Source organism: Homo sapiens, chromosome 12, assembly GCF_000001405.40.
Source record: "Homo sapiens chromosome 12, GRCh38.p14 Primary Assembly".
Classification (NCBI taxonomy): domain Eukaryota; kingdom Metazoa; phylum Chordata; class Mammalia; order Primates; family Hominidae; genus Homo; species Homo sapiens.
Genome location: NC_000012.12, coordinates 112,933,220 through 112,949,773, shown reverse-complemented (window position 1 = coordinate 112,949,773; position 16,554 = coordinate 112,933,220). Strand labels below are relative to the sequence as shown.

Sequence of the window (16,554 nt, the reverse complement as noted above, 5' to 3'; positions counted from 1 at the left end):
GTTCCAGGATTACAGGCGTGAGCCACCGTGCCCGGGCAAGACTGCAATTTTAAATCGTGTGGTCAGGCCTCAGTGGACGAGGACATCAGATCAAGAAACTTGAAGAGGAGAGACAGAGAGAGCGAGAGAGAGAGAGCCAAATGGTTGGGGAAGAGAATTCTCATTTTCTTCTAGGAAGAGAAAACAGCCACTACAGAGGCCTTGAATTGTTCTGTGGACCTGGTAAGCTCAGAGCAGCCAGGAGGCCAGTGTGGAGTAAGTCAAGGCCAGAGGGAGACCAGGGCCCATCCTGTAGGACTTGAGGCCTCTGCGCCCTGTGAAACCATGGAGAATTTTGAGCTGAGGAGGGAAGTGATCTGATTCTTGTAATAGTGTTTTAAAAACTGTATCATTAAAAAAAAGAAAATCTAAGCTGGCACTTAAATATATTTTATTTAAGCCAGCAAATCATCCTTCCTGGGCCGTCCAGTTCCCCAGCCCAACCTCAGCTCCATTGCTGTAACTCCTTCCCTTCCCCACGCTGATCCCTCGATAGGGTCCCCCCTGTGTCTCCACTGGCCCAACTCACTTTACTGACTCTTGAGGCCTTGTGAACACAGTTCTCATGGAGGCAGCGCAAGATGATGTCAATGGCCTTTTTCACCTGCTCCTGGAACTGGGGGCTCGGCTTCAGGTGGTCCTGGATGAAGCGGTCCAGCTCCTTGGTGGGGATCTGAGACAGGTCCAAGGCCATTCCCGGCACAGAGGGGACGATGCTGGCTGCCCCAGTGGGGCCAGGAGCTGGGCATGAGGGAGGTTTGCTCCCTGCTCTTGGGTACACAGCATTGAGGCTCTTGCTGTTTTCAGGGGTCTTCTGGTTAGGGTCTAGCTGGATGGGGTGGCCCAAACCTGAGCATCCAGCACGTGGAAGGCCCTGGAAGGTCATTGAAGGAGCTGCCTCAGCCAGGCGCAGTGGTTTCTGCATCAACCCAATGCCTTCTCTCCCCAGCTCCCGCCCTTTGTACAGTCAGGGTGACTGAGGCTCAGAGAGGGGAAGTGGGAGGGCCATGGCTAACGCACATGGCCATCTTTGGGCAGAGTTGAAAAAGGTGCCTTTCTGGAGGGATAAACTGCAAAATGGGTGCCCTTGTGATGGGCAGAAAGGTCTGGTAACCAGACCATAGCTGCAGAAAAACAAAGGACTCCTTCCCCCGGGCAGTTTCAGCTTGAGCTTGGTGATAAGACTGTTTTACATGCCTGATGCCCTGTGCATTTTTTTTTTTTTTTTTTTTGGGACGGAGTCTTACTCTGTCACCCAGGCTGGAGTGCAATGGAGTGATCTCAGCTCATTGCAACCTCCGCCTCCCTAGTTCAAGCAATTCTCCTGCCTCAGCCTCTCGAGTAGCTGAGATTACACGCACCCACCACCATGCCTGGCTAATTTTCGTATTTTTAGTAGAGACAAGGTTTCACCATATTGTCCAGACTGGTCTCGAACTCCTGACCTCTGACCTCAGGTAATCTGCCCACCTCGGCCTCCCAATGTGTTGAGATTACAGGCGTGAGCCACCACACCTGGCCACCCCTGCTTTTTAAAGCCTGTTCCACACCATATGGCACATAGTAGATGCTCAGGAAACACTGGACACATAAACAAAGTGCAAAACCCAAGGGTCCTGGGGCCCCCTCACTTACCGGCCCCTTCCAAGACTGCACTGGGTCCCCCATCCCCCTCAGAAAGCATGGGTGGTCATAGCAGGATGCTGCCTCCTGGGCTAGCAAATCCCAGTGCCAGGCTGCCCCATTCCCCAGGTCCCATGTGGGGTCAGCTGGGTCCAGGATCACAGGCCTGCAATTTCAGAGAGACAAGAAGGTTCTGGTTAGCAAGAGGGCTCTGGAGTGAAACGGACCTGGTTCCAATCGCATCTCTGCTACTTTCCAGCTGTGTGACCTGGGGCAAATGATTTACCCTCTCTGAGCCTCGATTTCCTTATCCGCAAAATGAGGAAAACAACATTGCCTGCTTATCATTGTCAACCCTGGCTGCACGTTGGAATCACAAGATACCAGGATCCACTCTCAAGGGCTCTTGAGTTACACCCTACAATTCAGCAATTTCATTCCTAGGTATATTTCCAACAGATATGCATATGCACCAAAAAAACATGTCCAAGAATGTTTATGATGGCCCTATTTGTAATAGTTCCAAGTTGAAAGAACTCAAATGTCCATCATCAGTAGAATAGACAACATATTTTGATAAATTCACACAATGGAATACTATACAGCAACAAAAAAGAATGATCCACAACTATATAGCTAAATCTCAAAGACTTAATCTTGAGAACAGAACGAGAAGCCAGACACAAAAGTACATGTGGCATGATTCCATTTAAATAAGATTTAAGAAAAGGCACAACTGTAATTATAAAAGTGTAAGTGGGGTTATTTTGGAAGGTTACTGACTGAGAGGGGACCAGTGGGGTGCTGGAAATATTCTACCATGATCTGGGTGGTGGTTTCAAAGTATGCGGTCTTCACACAGTCATCAGAACATGCACTTTCTGCTATACATCAGCAAAACATTCACGCATAAAACTTGTGGGGCCAGGCACTGGTATATTTTTTAAAACTCCCCCAGGTAATTCTAATGTGCATCTGGGCTGAGTCCAGTGAATTAAAACATGTACATGTAGCATTTTGCTTTGGCCTCTATACCCAAGCACTCAGTAGATGTAACCGGTTTTGTCCTTGTCAATTATCTCCCCCTGGCCCCGGGACAGGAGAGCAGATGGTGGGCTATTAGGAAGTACCTGGGTCTCTTAAGCTGCCGCTGCAAGAACTGCCCAACTGCAGGGTCCTCGAAGCCATAGTTGACAGTCCAGAAAACACACAGGTGCTGATGCTGTTGGATCAGGCCCAGGACAGTTCGGAGGCCTTCGGCTAGGCTGAAAGCATCCTTCTTACAGCCCTGCTCCCAGGCGAAGATGGTCAGCAATTCCAGGGCATAGACCGGGGGCAGCGTCTCCTTCCACAACCCCTGTAGGCACACCTGTGAGAGGGCATCGGCAGGGGACTCAGAAGGAAGAAGGGGAGGAAAGAGAGCCAGCTCTCTGCATAACCAGACTGGGGACCTTCCAGGCCGAGCCTGAGGCAAGATGCTGTGTTCCAAGCCTGTTCCAAGAACAAGTGGCATTTCTCACCAGCCCTCACTGGTAGCTTCAGCCAAGTGGTTGGCTCATATGATGGGGGAGTGGTGGGAGGGAGGGGTGTAAGTTTCAAGTCCCAAGGAGGCAGGGAGCAGTCAGAGAGAAGCCAAGGGTAGTCTGAAATTGCTATCTATCCTCAAATAAAGGTGAAGCAGATCTGGGGTCCCAGTTGCGTGGCTGATTGGAGAAGGACACCAAGTTGTCGCCCTTTCACCCCTGGAGTGGGGTGGGGCAGCGGGCCAGAACTCTGTCCTTCCCTCCTCACTCCAGCCGTCTATCCCCCATCCCAAAATGCATGATTTCTATTTGTGCACCATATACTTGGGATCTCCACGTACCAGGGAGGGATTACTCCATGCCAAGGCAAGAATCCCAGGCCTCTGGGTAACTCCAGAGGGGATGCTTCAGCATGCCAGAAAGTGACCCCCCTGGCTAGAAGCACCCAGCATCTCCACACTCCCTCCGCTCACCCCCTCTCTCTGGGGTGACAAACATGCGTGGGTGCACATGTGTACCCACCACCCAGATCAAGATAGAATTTCTAACGCCCAACCAGGCTGGCTCCATAGTTGTATTAATTAATTAATTAATTTATAGACAGAGTCTTACTCTGTTGCCCAGGCTGAAGTGCAGTGGCTCAATCTTAGGTCACTGCAGCCTTGAACTCCTGGGCTCAAGTGATCTTCACGCCTCAGCCTCCTGCGTGGAGAGGACCACAGGCGTGAGCCACCATACCCAGCAGTTTGCCCTTTTAGGAAGTACCAGGCTATTAGCATTTTCTGCCCCTGGAGAATCTTACATGGAAAGAACCTGAGTAAGATTTGCCGATGCATATATTTCTTTATGTGCAAGTGGAGGAAACAGAGGCCCAGAGAAGGCTAGGAACTTGTCCAGGGTCACACAGCAAGAAGATGGCTGAGCCAGAACTGGAATCCAGAATCTCTTCCTTGAGAGACCTGCTTATGATGACTGGTCCATGTGCTGCAAGATTTTGGGGGAGCCTGTTCCCCCATCTCCAGGCATAGGCTGGGCACACTTTCCCCAGTGCATAAGAGTCTGGCAACAAACATGAACAGAGCAAGGGAGCATCCCTGAGGCTAGGGAGGGAAGTGTACCAACTCCGCATATACCTCATACCATACCAGACAGGCCAAAGCCCTGAATATGAACAGAAATACAATAGGAAACAATATGATGGCAGGAAATATGAAAGAGTCATTTTACAAAGTCAGGACAGGGAAAGACCTCTTTTTTTTTTTTTTTTTTTTTTCCTTGAGATGGAGTCTGGCTCTGTCACCCAGGCTGGAGTGCAGTGGTGCAATCTTGGCTTACTGCAACCTCTGCCTCCTGGGTTCAAGAGATTCTCCTGCCTCAGCCTCCCGAGTAACTGGAATTACAGGTGTGTACCACCACGCCCGGCTACATTTTGTATTTTTAGTAGAGACAGGGTTTCACCATGTTGGCCAGGCTGGTCTTGAACTCCTGACCTCAAGTGATCCACCTGCCTCGGCCACTCAAAGTGCTGGGATTCCAGCCATGAGCCACTGCACCTGGCAGGATAGGGAAAGACTTCTTAAGACACACAAAGAATAACTCATTTTTCAAAGGATATATCTGAGTACATTAAACTGTAGATATTTTGTCCTACAAATAACCTTTAAACAAAGCAAAAGCCCAAGACACAGACTGGAAGACTATTGGAAGAATGCATTATATTAACTAAATAAGGATCAGTATCCACAATATATAAAGAGCTTCAACAAATCAGTAACAAGACAGCTAACCCAAGAGAAAATAATGCACAAGGGACATAAACAGACAATTCCCAGAGAGAGAACATGAATGGCCACTAAATGTAAGACAACAGTTTCACGACTATGAAAGCACAAAGCAAACAGTCACATGTCTGGAGAAACCCTTCCAAGTGGCTTCACCTGGTGGTACCAGTGCTTCACCAGCAAGATTAGGTTCTTCAACTTGGCTGGGCGAATGTTCACAAAGTTCCTCCGCAGCTCTGTGAAGCAGGCCGCATGCTCGCCCCCTTGGCAGCCACTGTTGAGGAGGGTAGAGTAGACTTGTGGCTTGGGTTTGACGCCGGAGCCGGCCTGACCTGTTGGTGTGAAGCGCTGTGAGTTAGGGAGGGCACTGAGGACACAGGATGGAGGGCGGTGTTGGTGCCGAGCTCAGCCTGGGGCGCTGAGAGAGAGTGGGAAGAATTCAGAGGGGAAGAAATCTGGTAACATGGGAGTCGGGGGACTGGGAAGAGAGCCTGGAGCTTTTCAGGAGGCAGGGAAGAAGAGCGGCACTCCAGAATGCAGTGGGAGAGTCCCTCCATCCCAAATGGCCAGGCAGTCCCTAGAGCAACAGCTCAAAGAGGAGCAGCTGCATTCCAAGATGGTTAAACAGGAAAGTTGCTTCCAGCTGAGTCAGCAGTGCCTGCAGCCTGGCAACTCTCTCCTCCCTGAGCCTTCCTCAAAACACCACTCTACATATCCTTAATTAAGAGGTGTCACGGAGAGGAAAACGATGCCCAAGAAATAAAAGGCAAAAAGCCCTGATCCTTTAGCAGTGGTTGTTGATATTTTTTACTACAGGCCTGGCGCTGTGGCTCACACCTGTAATCCCAGCACTTTGGGAGGCCAAGGTGGGAGGTTCACCTGAGGTCAGGAGTTCGAGACCAGCCTGGCCAACAAAATATACAAAAATTAGCCAGTCATGTTGGCACTCGCCTGTAATCCCAGCTACTCCAGAGGCCGAAGCACGAGAATTGCTTGAACTCAGGAGGCAGAGGTTGCAGTGAGCTGAGATCGTACCACTGCACTCCAGCCTGGGGGACAGAGCGAAACTCTGTCTTAGAAAAAAATATATATTTTTTTTACTGCATACTGGGCACTGGACAGAAGGTCTTTACATGTATCCCCACCACAACCCTATGAGGCAAGTACAGTTCTTCATCCCACTTGATAGCTGAGGAAGCTGAGGCACAGAGAAATTCCATGATTTGCCCAAGGTTACACAGCCAGCATGCGATGGAGGCAGGATTTGAGCTCAGAGCCAGTGGACTTTGCAGGGTGCGCCTTTTCCGCCACCACTCCCATGGGCATGGCTTGGGAGAAGTAAACACTTTCCATAATTCCCTGAGGTTGCTGCTACCGCTTGCCTGCTGTGTGGCTTTGGGTGGGTCACTGTATGTCTCTGAGCCTCAGTTTCCCCAATGGTAAAATTGAAGCTGAAACAGTACAGACCTCATAAGTTTGTTGTGAAGAATTGATGAGATAAAACATGTCAAGTTCTTGGAATAGTTAAGCATTTAATAAGTAGTAACTATTATGATTAATATATGTGTACCCAGGCTGGGTGGGGTGGCTTGTGCCTGTAATCCTAGCACTTTGGGAGGCTGAGGCAGGTGGATCATTTGATCTCAGAAGTTCAAGACCAGCCTAGACAACATGGTGAAACCCTATCTCTATAAAAAATACAAAAATTAGCCAGGCATGGTGGTGCATGCCTGTAGCCCAGCTACTCGGGAGGCTGAGGTGGGAGGATTGCTTGAACCCAGGACGGAGGTTGCAGTGAGCCAAGATCATGCCACCACACTCCAACCTGGGTGACAGAGTGAGACCCTGTCTTAAAAATGTGTGTGCGTGTGTGTGTGTGTACCCAGTATGTGGGTACACTAGGCTTAGGGTACCAGGCATAGGGGATGTGGCTATCTGCCCAAAGGATAAAGCTATCCCCCAGATCATCAAGGTAAATAATAATAATAATAATAATAACAATAATAATAGAAACAACAACAATAATAGAAATAATAATAATAGTAAACACTCTTACAACCCTTATCACATGCTAGACATTCTTATTTCTTTTTTTTTTTTAAGAAGAGTCTTACTCAGACAGATTGTAGTGGCAAAATCACAATTCACTGCAGCCTCCACTGCCTGGGCTCAAACAATCCTCCCACCTCAGCCTCTCCAGTAGCTGGGATCAGAGGGAGGCATGTACTACTACACCTGGCTATTTTTTAAAATTATTATTATTTGTAGAGACTAGATCTTGCTATTTTGCCAAGGCTGATCTTGAACTCCTGGGCTCAAGCAGTCTCTAACTTGGCCTCCCGAAGCTGGGATTACAGGCATGAGCCACTGCGCCTGGCCCACTAGACACACTTCTAAGCTTGATTACATATATTAATGCATTTAATTCTTCTGACAACTCTATAAGATTACTATTATCCCCATTAGTATTATCCTCATTTTACAGATGAGGACACAGAGGCCTATTTTTATCTTAACTCAAGCATACGTGTATTACGAAGGAGAACACAAAAATCACATTGATGTTTTCAACATAAAATACAAGATTTTGCAGAATTCTGGTTTCGTCCCCAGGCCCCTACTGCTAGCCACATGTCCACTTGGCTTAGCTTTCGGGAGTATTTGTGGAAGGGCTGAGCAGTAACCGCTCCAGGCAGTGGCTGAGGGAAACTCCCAGATGCCTGTGGGAGGGCCAAGCATCTTGACAGCAGGACCACAGATCCAGGAGGAACTGGGGTTTCTCTGCCTTTGTCTGGCACAAGTCCAATATGTTTAGTCCCCAGACTGAGGCTGAGAGAGGGGTAGAGGCTGGCCCAGGTCAAACAGCAAGTTGGTGGCTGGGCTAGAATTGGAAGTCCTGTGTTGTTCCCAATGATCTTTTGCCCCCAACCCTGGAATGGTCTAGGAACCCCTCACCCAGGACATTGAAGGCAGGCACCAGGCTAACATCCATCCAGTCCTCAAGATCTACGGATGTCAGGCGGAACTGCAGGGCCCCAGGCACGCTCTGCTCAGGAAACGTGAGTCTCAGACCAGGGACTGGGTTCTGCCACCAGGATTCCAGCGATGCCCGCATCTCACTGAGGATCTCTGCACGGCGGGCCCTCTGGTCCACATAGCTCTTGAAGCAGTCGAGGAAGATGACAAGTTCAGAATCACAGCCACCCTTGAGAGCTGTGCCCCGGCCCGAGGAGCCTCCCTGGGCAAAGAAAAATAACTCAGAATTTCATACTGTCCAATTCTAGTGGCCTTGCAACCTGGCAGGCAACTTGAGTGAGGCAAGTGTGCTGGGGAGAGACTGTGGCCACATGGCTGTAGGCATTGAAGCCACGCGGGAATGTGGGCCCAGGGTAGCCAGGCTCGAGATTTCAAGAGAAGCAATTTTAACATGTAAACTCATGATTTTTTTTCCATAGAAACAGGGTCTTGTTCTGTCACCCAGGCTGGAACACATAGCTCACTGCGGCCTTGAACTCCTGGGCTCGAGTGATCCTCCTGCCTCAGCCTCTCAAGTAGTTGAGACTACAGGCACACGCTACCATGCCTGGCTAGTTTTTACATTTTTTTAAAGAGATGGGGTCTTGCTATGTTGCCCAGGCTGGAGTGCAGTGGCTATTCACAGACACGATTGTAGCTCACTGCAGCTTGGAATTCCTGGGCTCGAGTGATCTTCTTGCCTCAGCCTCCCAAGTGTCTGAGACTATAGGCATGCACCACCGTGCTGGGCTAAATCCATACTTGTAATTTTATTTTTATTTTTAGTTTTGAGACAGAGACTTACTCTGTTGCCTAGGCTGGAGTGCAGTGGCACCATCTCAGCTCACTGCAACCTCCATCTCATGAGTTCAAGTGATTTTCCCACCTGAGCCTCCTGAGTAGCTGGGACTACAGGTGTGCGCCACCATGCCTGGCTAATTTTTGTATTTTTAGTAGAGATGGGGTTTCACCATGTTGGCCAGACTGGTCTCGAATTCCTGACCTCAAGTGATCTGCCCTCGTTGGCCTCCCAAAGTGCTGGGATTACAGGCATGAACCACCATGCCAGGCCTATATCCATGATTTTTAAATGTTGGCAACTAACTTTTTAAAAACTCAAGACCGCAGGTAAAACAAATTCTGCTTTGCAGAACACACATTTGCAATCTTTGCTCAGAATGGGTACAGAACTGTGGTATGACTCAATTTCTGAGACCTGTGTGATTAGTGTTTCTTTCGGCAAAGCTTCCAACCTGAGGATTTGGAAAAGAAACTCCTAAACATTGTCAGAGCCACTGTTCTGTGTCTGGGATCTGACGTCTCTAATCTCACTTCCAACACAAAACAACTGTGATGTAGTTACATGTGGCTGCAGATATGGGGAGTGAGGCTCAGATGGTGAAATGAGTTACACAGCCAGTAAACAGCAAGAACCAGGATGGAGCCCTCCAGGAGCAAGGCTTGCCTCAAACTGGGACCCCCTACTTATCCCGATGATTATGCCAGTCCTTTTACTACCAGCTCCCACCATCTGGGGGCTGCTGACAAAGTGGGAACAGGGAATATTACAGGCTGGGCACTTCCTGCACGTTTTGCACACTCTCATCTCATTGAACCTTCCTCACAGCCCCAGAAGGAAGGTACCACTTTACAAAAGAGGAAACGAAAGCACAGGGAGATTGCACCGTGCTCACTTTACAAAGGAGACAATGAAAGCACAGGGAGATTGTGCTCCAGAACCCCCTCCCACCCCTTTCCAGGGAAGCTAAGGATGCCAGGGCTTTCCCTTGCTGCACAGAAATCCCTCCTGTCCATCTCCAAGGTAGAAACGGGACTTCACACCTCCTAGGCGACAAGTGTCTCCTCCTTCCCCACCTCCCAAGCTGAGAGTCAGCCCCAGGAAACCACTAGGTGCTCTGAGGCCATTTCTACTCTGCGTTTTCACTCCCTCTCCTGACAACCTCCTCTAGCACACCCAGGTTCCCTCCATCAATCCACTCCTGGCACCCCCAAATCTACCCTGAGGATAAGGTAGCTCATGACTTGTCTCCTCCCTGAATCTGCGAGTGTCCTGGGATCACAGTGGCAGTGTGGCTGTATTTAAGTGACAAAAAGTGACCCGGAGCCTGGGCAACATGGTGAAATCCCGTCTCTACAAAAAATGCAAAAATTACCTGGGCATGGTGGCTCACACCTGTAATCCCAGCACTTTGAAAGGCCAAGGCAAGTGGATCACTTGAGCCCAGGAGTTCCAGGCCAGCCTGGGCAACACGGCAAAACTCTATCTCTACAAAAAATGCAAATAATTAGCCAGGCATGGTAGTGTGCACCTGTAGTGCCAGCTACTTGGGAGGCTGAGGTGTGAGAATAACTTGAGCCCAGGAGGCGGAGGTTGCTGTGAGCCAAGATCATGCTACTGCACTCCAGCCTGGGTGACAGAGCGAGACCCTGTCTCAAAAAAAAAAAAAAAAAAAAAAAAAAAAAAAGATGTGACTCAGAGTAGTAATTTAGCGTCTAGCCTCAGTTTCCCTATCCATAAAACAGGTACAATAATACCTGCCTCACTGAACGTGGGGATGAAATGAGGTAATACTCATTTAATGAGATAATTTTCATTGTTATTTGATAATGTCTCAATAAATTGGGCTACTCTGGCTGTTACGCGGAGTGTTATTACTTCTGTAACCTTAAGGTCTGGCATAGTGTGAGGCCCACAGTCTGTTTGAATGACTGGGAGAATGAGTGAATGAGTGAATGAATGGATAAGAAGCAGCCTCTGAGAGTAGAGATGCAGGAATCAGGCTACTTGGATTTGAATCCTGGCTGGGCCTCTTACAGGATCGGACACGTCACTGTACCTCTCTGTGCCTCATTTTCTCTATCTGTCAAGCGGGCTTAAGAGTACCTACCTGGCTCGTATGTTCGGGGGAGTTAGCACGGGGCTGGCACATTGGAAGTATTTGTTAAAGAAATGAATGAGGTGCACAAGCGGATAAAGCCACCCCCACCGTAAGCCTATGTGAGGCTTAAGCGTCCTCCCAGGACTCCCCTTTGGACACATAAAGACCCCGAGGTGGGACCTCACCTTGACAGTTTTCAGCACCCGCGGGGCAGCAGCACCGAGGCGGCCCCCGCGCTCCCTCAGGGCAGCGGCCAGGGCGCCCAGAGCGCGCCGCGCCTTCTCTACGAACTCCTTCCGCGGCTGCAGCCTTCTGGCCACGAACCTGTCCAGCGCAGCGGCCGGGGTGCTGTACAAGTCCATGGCCGCCCGGCGCAGGTGCAAGGGGAAGCAGGGCTCTGGCGCGGCCTTCGGATTTCTGGTTTCGTTTTCCCGCCCGGCTCTCCGAACCACGCCCAGCTGGCCAGGTCCTAGGTCCTCGGTCCCGCGCGTGGCGTGAAACGGGGAGGGGCGCTGCAGTTCCTGTCTTCCCCAAACTTGGGAAATTCCCTGCTTTCAGTTTCGTTTCTTTCTAGCAGCTCTTGGACCTGACACCCACTTCCTGGTCCCCTTCCCAGCTACGACTTCCTCTCCTTCATCTCCTTGCTTCCAGCCGTCCCTGCAACCACCAGCTCCAACGAACTAATCACAACCTAACAAAGTATACCCACAGAACATATGGGTACATACTGAGTAACGTACTCTGAGCATTTCAGAAACGTGCAGGTTTTACATGGAAAAAAAAGGTCAGGATTTAATAAACGGAGAAGTCCTACCTCGCTGTCTGACTGAGGGATGCGTTCTAAACACCACTACCACCACCAACGATAATAAAGCACACTTGGAGACTCTCACTGACTCCTCCCAACGACCATGGTGTAGGTGCTATTATCATCACCCATTTGACAGATGAGGAAGTCAAGGTACAGAGGAACTAGGTAACTGTCCAAGGTAACACAGCTGGAAAGTTGTCTGGCTGGATTCAAACCCAGCCCAAGCCCACAGAGCTGCCCTCTTCAGAAGCCAACTCTTCCTAAATAATTTATACGTGTAATGCAGTTCCAATAAAAATTCCATCTTTAAAAACTTCAAACACACGATCTAAAGTCTGTCTGCAAGAATTAAAAATTATTTTGGAGGAGAAGGAGGAAGGAAAGTCAGTCAGTTTAGGATGGTACCTTGCACAACAATACTACATATTAAAACATTGTAAAGCTACAATAGGGAAATCCTCTTGGAATGGGCACAAAGCTAAGCGGACTGTAAGCTATAAGCTGCAGAGTGGAGATTTGAATCCAGGACCATTGCGCTTCTATCTTCATGGCCTGTCTCCTTTTTCTGCTTATTTCCTGCTGCTTCTCCACCCGGGTTCCTAGAGACTGCACACCTGAGCTCTCTTCCAGGCCTGGTCCAAGCCATAGCCTATCTCCTCCTCCCCATCTTACTAAAAAACTCCCAGGTCCTCTCTCCTGTCTGCTCCGGGACCCAGCATTTACTCTGCCTCTGAGTACACTTCAGGTAATAGTCTTAACAAGTGCTTCCTGACATCTGCACGGTAACTGAAAGGAAATAGATAGGATCAGAGTGTGAATTTCAGAGGTCATGGTCAACTAGAGGGAGAGATGCTGGGTCTGTAATATGTACACCAGCTAATATTTTGAGTAGTGAATGCTGCATCACTTGGAATATTCAAGTATGGGCAGGTTTTGTAGGTCAGGTGTTGTGGTGGGGATTTAAGTCAAGGGATTGAGCAATGATTTTCATTCTCGCCCATTAATCACAGTCTTCTTCCTGAGTCACAGGCCACTTTAGAAACTTTCCATTCAAGATAGTGGATTGAACACATGCTCAAAATTCTATTAAAATAGCAGCAAAGATATATTAAAAGCATAATGGAAATCAACAGGGTTGGAAACTGAGAAAAAGTGGAGTCAAGGGGGCGGGACATTTGAGGCATTTTTAGAAGATGGAACGCAGAAGGGTCAATATTGGGTCATGATGGTGGACTGAACATATGCATAAGCCTTCAACGTCCATCCCAGGCCTCTAGAGGTGGCAGGAAAGCGATAGAAAAACTTTAATAATGTTGCTGGGTCCTAACCAGAGGTGTCCCAGGTAAACTGGAATCTGAGATCCCTGTCAGAGATATGAGACTGGATGAAGGAGGAAATTGCAGCCAAAACACATAAAGGAGGGGGTACCTATGCAGAGTGGAAAGGCTCTGAGGAGCTGCAGGCTCCAGGCAGTGGATTGAAGGAAAAGAAGGGACCCTAGGTTAACTCTCATGGTTGTCAGTTGTGCTGGCATAGTAATGGCAGCCTCTAAAGACATGTGGTCTCCCGCCCCAACCTTTCTGTGTTGAGTAACAGGCAGCAGAGGTGCCTGCCTAAGGAGGGAGCAGTGAGGGTGGGGCAGAGAGGCAGGGAAGTACACAGCATACCTGGCCACATCTGGAAAGAACAGGAAGTCCTGTATGCAGAAGACTCATTCCTGGCACATCCCCTTTCCTCATCTCTGCCTCCAGCTGCAGTAAGAAGGTACCAACTTCACAGGGAGACAAGCAGAACATCCCCAGTGAGCAAAAAGCACACATCCAAAGGTGCCAAATTATTTTGGGAGATCCAATGCTATGAACATAAAAACTCACATGTAAGGACACTGAAATAATCAATAAAGGAGAAAGAGTCTTCTGTGGTCTAAATTTGTCCCCCAGAATTCATGTGTTGGAAACTTACTCCCCAATGCAGCAGTTGGGAAGTGGGGTCTAACAGGAGGTGTTTGTGTCATGAGGGCTCTGCCCACGTGAGTGGATTATGGCCACTGTGAAAAGAGCTTGGAGGAATGGGCTCATTGTCTTCTGCTTTTCTGCCATGTGAGGACATAGTGTTCCTCCCCTCCAAAAGACACAACATTCTTCAAGGCGCCATCTTGGAAGCATAGAGACCAGGTCCTAACCTGCTGAAGCCTTGGTCTTGCACTTCTCAGCCTCCAGAACTGTGATAAGTAAATTTCTGTTCTTTACTAATTTCCCAGTCTGTGGCTTTCTGTTTTAGAAGTACAAATTGGACTAATACGGTCTTAGAAATATATAATTAATATCCTCAGAGGGATTAGATATTATATCCATTATAATTATTCATTGTATTCATGATTATTCATCATATCCATGAAATAAGAACAGTGATGAAAGTCAACAATCACCACTATCACATTGGAAGTGAAAACATAATGCAAAATAAAACCAAAGATGAACAGAAAAACCGAACCTTCTCCATAGATAGGCTGAATAAATATACCTGAAGATAAAATCAGTAAACTGGAAGATGGAATGGAGGAAATTACTCGAGATTACAGGAAAGCAGAACATAGAAAAGAAAGGTATAAAAGACAACTTATGAGATGTGGAAAACAGATCCTTTCCTTATTCTTATAAATATTTATTAAGGCCAGGTGCGGTGGCTCACGCCTGTAATCCCAGCACTTTGGGAGGCCAAAGCAGGTGGATGACCTGAGGTCAGGAGTTCGAGACTGGCCTGGCCAACATGGTGAAACCCCGTCTCTACTAAACATACAAAAATTAGCTGAGTATGGTGGCAGGCACCTGTAATCCCAGGTACTCAGGAGTCTGAGTCAGGAGAATCACTTGAACCCAGGAGGCAATGGTTGCAGTGAGCCAAGATCACACCATTGCACTCTAGGCTGGATGACAAGAGTGAAACTCTGGCTCAAAAATAAAATAAATAAATAAATAAATAAATATTTATTCAGTGTTTTCTTTATGGTAGCCACTGGTCTAGCACAGAACATGTGTGGTGAATAAGTGAAAAGGCCTCTGCTCTCATGGAATTTATATTCTAACGAGAGAAGATGGACAAAAAATTAATAAGCAAATAGAAAATGTTGGATTCATGGCTAGATAAAATCTTAAGCACAGGGGTTTTCTTGGGGTGCTTGGAATTAGAAGGCATATCTGGACAGGTCACCCACAGTTGTGGGTGTAACAAAATGACTCAGAATGTCTGTTACACATTCTGTTACTTACTACGGTCAAATATATTCTTGGTTGATACAGTAGCAAATCATCTGCTGTTCTCCTTGGAAAACTATTGCTTATTGCCTATATATAAAAGGTGACAGTATCCTCCTACAGATACTCTCTCTCTTTTTGCCTGTCTGCTTAGTCAACTCACTCACCACCTTGTACTGGCCCGGGAAGAAATTGCTGCTGGTTTCTTTTTGAAAAAGAATATTCTTTCTTTCTTTTTCTCTTTTTCTCTCTTTTTCTTTCTTTTCTTTTCTTTTCTTTTCTTTCTCTCTTTCTTTCTTTCTTTCTTTCTTTCTTTCTTTCTTTCTTTCTTTCCTCTCTTTCTCTCTCTCTCTTCCTTCCTTCCTTCCTTTTTTTTTTTTTTTTTTTTTTTTTTTTTGAGACAGCCCAGGCTGGAGTGCAGCAGTGTGGTCTCGGCTCACTGCAACTTCTGCCTCCCAGGTTTAAGCAATTCTCCTGCCTCAGCCTCCCGAGTAGCTGGGATTACAGGTGTGTGCCACCATGTCTGGCTAATTTTTGTATTTTTAGTAGAGACGGGGTTTCACTATGTTGGCCAGGGTGGTCTCGAACTCCTGACCTCAGGTGATCCAACGGCCTTGGCTTCCCGAAGTGCTGGGATTACAGGTGTGAGCCACCATGCCTGGCAGAAAAAGAATCTTCTGATGCATCAAAAGAATAAGATGGATTCATGGATGGATAGAAGGATGAAGAAATTGTAGATATGCAATCAAGCAAGTGCAATAAAACGTTAATTGTAAAATCTATGTGGTGAGTATATGAGTGTTCACTGCAAAATTCTTTCAATGTGGCTGTTTGCTTGGAAATTTTTCTTAATGAAATGTTGGAAGAAACTGGCAAACTATGGCCCATGGGCCACATCTGGTCCAGCCTCTGCTTGTTTTTGTGCCTTTTTTTTTTTTTTTTTTTGACAGTTTCGCTCTGTAGCCCAGGATGGAGTGCAGTGGCATTATCGTGGCTCACTGCAACCTCTGCCTCCCTAGTTCAAGCGATTCTCCTGCCTCAGCCTCCCAAGTAGCTGGGATTACAGGCGCCCACCACCACACCTGGCTAATTTTTGTATTTCTCATAGACACAGGGTTTCACCATCTTGGCCAGGCTGATCTCGAACTCCTGACCTCAAGTGATCTGCTTGCCTCAGCCTCCCAAAGTGTTGAGATTACAGGTGTGAGCCACTGCACCCAGCTGTTTTTGTACTTTTTAACATGTTTAATGGTTAAGAAAAAAAATCAACAGAAGAATATTAAAAATAAAAGAATATTTTGTGACGTGAAAATTGTGAAATTCAGTGTCCATAAATAAAGTTTAATTGAAATGCCATTACACCCATTTATTTATATGTTGTCTATGGCTGCTTGCATATGGCAACAGCAGAGATGAAGAGTCCAGCTGAGGTTGGATGATCCATAAGGCCTAAAATATTTACTATATTGCCCTTCACGGGAAAACTTGGCCAATCTAGCAACTGCTGGGCACGTAGGCAGGACTTCATGATAGCTGCAGTGATTCTCATTTCACAATTCTGTTTTGTTCTTCTACATCAACACCAAGAAACCTTACTCATGACACTTA

At 47.6% G+C, this 16,554-nt stretch overlaps 1 protein-coding gene across 2 annotated transcripts in view, besides 14 other annotated features; it reads right to left on the bottom strand.

Annotated features, from left to right (window-relative positions):
• The window catches only part of OAS3 (2'-5'-oligoadenylate synthetase 3), a 34,778-nt gene extending 23,478 nt beyond the window's left edge, over positions 1 to 11,300 (bottom strand). For both annotated transcript variants that reach the window (NM_006187.4, NM_001410984.1), the window contains exons 1-6: positions 11,067 to 11,300; positions 7,922 to 8,204; positions 5,123 to 5,298; positions 2,793 to 3,031; positions 1,675 to 1,828; positions 569 to 913 (exon numbers count right to left, since the gene is read on the bottom strand). In NM_006187.4, the coding sequence (NP_006178.2) occupies positions 569 to 913; positions 1,675 to 1,828; positions 2,793 to 3,031; positions 5,123 to 5,298; positions 7,922 to 8,204; positions 11,067 to 11,243 (1,374 nt within the window). In that variant the 5' untranslated portion in view covers positions 11,244 to 11,300. The remainder of the gene's footprint in view (positions 1 to 568; positions 914 to 1,674; positions 1,829 to 2,792; positions 3,032 to 5,122; positions 5,299 to 7,921; positions 8,205 to 11,066) is intronic.
• Positions 545 to 714: an enhancer, noted in NCBI's record as "experimental_24535 CRE fragment used in MPRA reporter constructs". NCBI's record gives its function as "activates a minimal promoter by MPRAs in K562 erythroleukemia cells, with activity observed for the introgressed 12:113386950 variant allele {active_cell/tissue: K562}" and the evidence as "EXISTENCE:reporter gene assay evidence [ECO:0000049][PMID:34662402]".
• Positions 9,414 to 9,583: an enhancer, noted in NCBI's record as "experimental_24520 CRE fragment used in MPRA reporter constructs". NCBI's record gives its function as "activates a minimal promoter by MPRAs in K562 erythroleukemia cells, with activity observed for the introgressed 12:113378081 variant allele {active_cell/tissue: K562}" and the evidence as "EXISTENCE:reporter gene assay evidence [ECO:0000049][PMID:34662402]".
• Positions 10,582 to 10,751: an enhancer, noted in NCBI's record as "experimental_24515 CRE fragment used in MPRA reporter constructs". NCBI's record gives its function as "activates a minimal promoter by MPRAs in K562 erythroleukemia cells, with activity observed for both the introgressed and non-introgressed 12:113376913 variant alleles {active_cell/tissue: K562}" and the evidence as "EXISTENCE:reporter gene assay evidence [ECO:0000049][PMID:34662402]".
• Positions 10,998 to 11,087: a silencer, noted in NCBI's record as "silent region_4887". NCBI's record gives its function as "represses an Ori minimal core promoter by ATAC-STARR-seq in GM12878 lymphoblastoid cells {active_cell/tissue: GM12878}" and the evidence as "EXISTENCE:reporter gene assay evidence [ECO:0000049][PMID:35858748]".
• Positions 11,175 to 11,344: an enhancer, noted in NCBI's record as "experimental_24505 CRE fragment used in MPRA reporter constructs". NCBI's record gives its function as "activates a minimal promoter by MPRAs in K562 erythroleukemia cells, with activity observed for both the introgressed and non-introgressed 12:113376320 variant alleles {active_cell/tissue: K562}" and the evidence as "EXISTENCE:reporter gene assay evidence [ECO:0000049][PMID:34662402]".
• Positions 11,308 to 11,617: an enhancer, noted in NCBI's record as "active region_7053". NCBI's record gives its function as "activates an Ori minimal core promoter by ATAC-STARR-seq in GM12878 lymphoblastoid cells {active_cell/tissue: GM12878}" and the evidence as "EXISTENCE:reporter gene assay evidence [ECO:0000049][PMID:35858748]".
• Positions 11,308 to 11,681: a biological region, named in NCBI's record as "ATAC-STARR-seq lymphoblastoid active region 7053".
• Positions 11,512 to 11,681: an enhancer, noted in NCBI's record as "experimental_24497 CRE fragment used in MPRA reporter constructs". NCBI's record gives its function as "activates a minimal promoter by MPRAs in K562 erythroleukemia cells, with activity observed for both the introgressed and non-introgressed 12:113375983 variant alleles {active_cell/tissue: K562}" and the evidence as "EXISTENCE:reporter gene assay evidence [ECO:0000049][PMID:34662402]".
• Positions 13,478 to 13,647: an enhancer, noted in NCBI's record as "experimental_24487 CRE fragment used in MPRA reporter constructs". NCBI's record gives its function as "activates a minimal promoter by MPRAs in K562 erythroleukemia cells, with activity observed for the introgressed 12:113374017 variant allele {active_cell/tissue: K562}" and the evidence as "EXISTENCE:reporter gene assay evidence [ECO:0000049][PMID:34662402]".
• Positions 15,522 to 15,691: an enhancer, noted in NCBI's record as "experimental_24463 CRE fragment used in MPRA reporter constructs". NCBI's record gives its function as "activates a minimal promoter by MPRAs in K562 erythroleukemia cells, with activity observed for the introgressed 12:113371973 variant allele {active_cell/tissue: K562}" and the evidence as "EXISTENCE:reporter gene assay evidence [ECO:0000049][PMID:34662402]".
• Positions 15,849 to 16,018: an enhancer, noted in NCBI's record as "experimental_24461 CRE fragment used in MPRA reporter constructs". NCBI's record gives its function as "activates a minimal promoter by MPRAs in K562 erythroleukemia cells, with activity observed for the introgressed 12:113371646 variant allele {active_cell/tissue: K562}" and the evidence as "EXISTENCE:reporter gene assay evidence [ECO:0000049][PMID:34662402]".
• Positions 15,849 to 16,141: a biological region, named in NCBI's record as "Neanderthal introgressed variant-containing enhancers experimental_24456 and experimental_24461".
• Positions 15,972 to 16,141: an enhancer, noted in NCBI's record as "experimental_24456 CRE fragment used in MPRA reporter constructs". NCBI's record gives its function as "activates a minimal promoter by MPRAs in K562 erythroleukemia cells, with activity observed for both the introgressed and non-introgressed 12:113371523 variant alleles {active_cell/tissue: K562}" and the evidence as "EXISTENCE:reporter gene assay evidence [ECO:0000049][PMID:34662402]".
• Positions 16,381 to 16,550: an enhancer, noted in NCBI's record as "experimental_24448 CRE fragment used in MPRA reporter constructs". NCBI's record gives its function as "activates a minimal promoter by MPRAs in K562 erythroleukemia cells, with activity observed for both the introgressed and non-introgressed 12:113371114 variant alleles {active_cell/tissue: K562}" and the evidence as "EXISTENCE:reporter gene assay evidence [ECO:0000049][PMID:34662402]".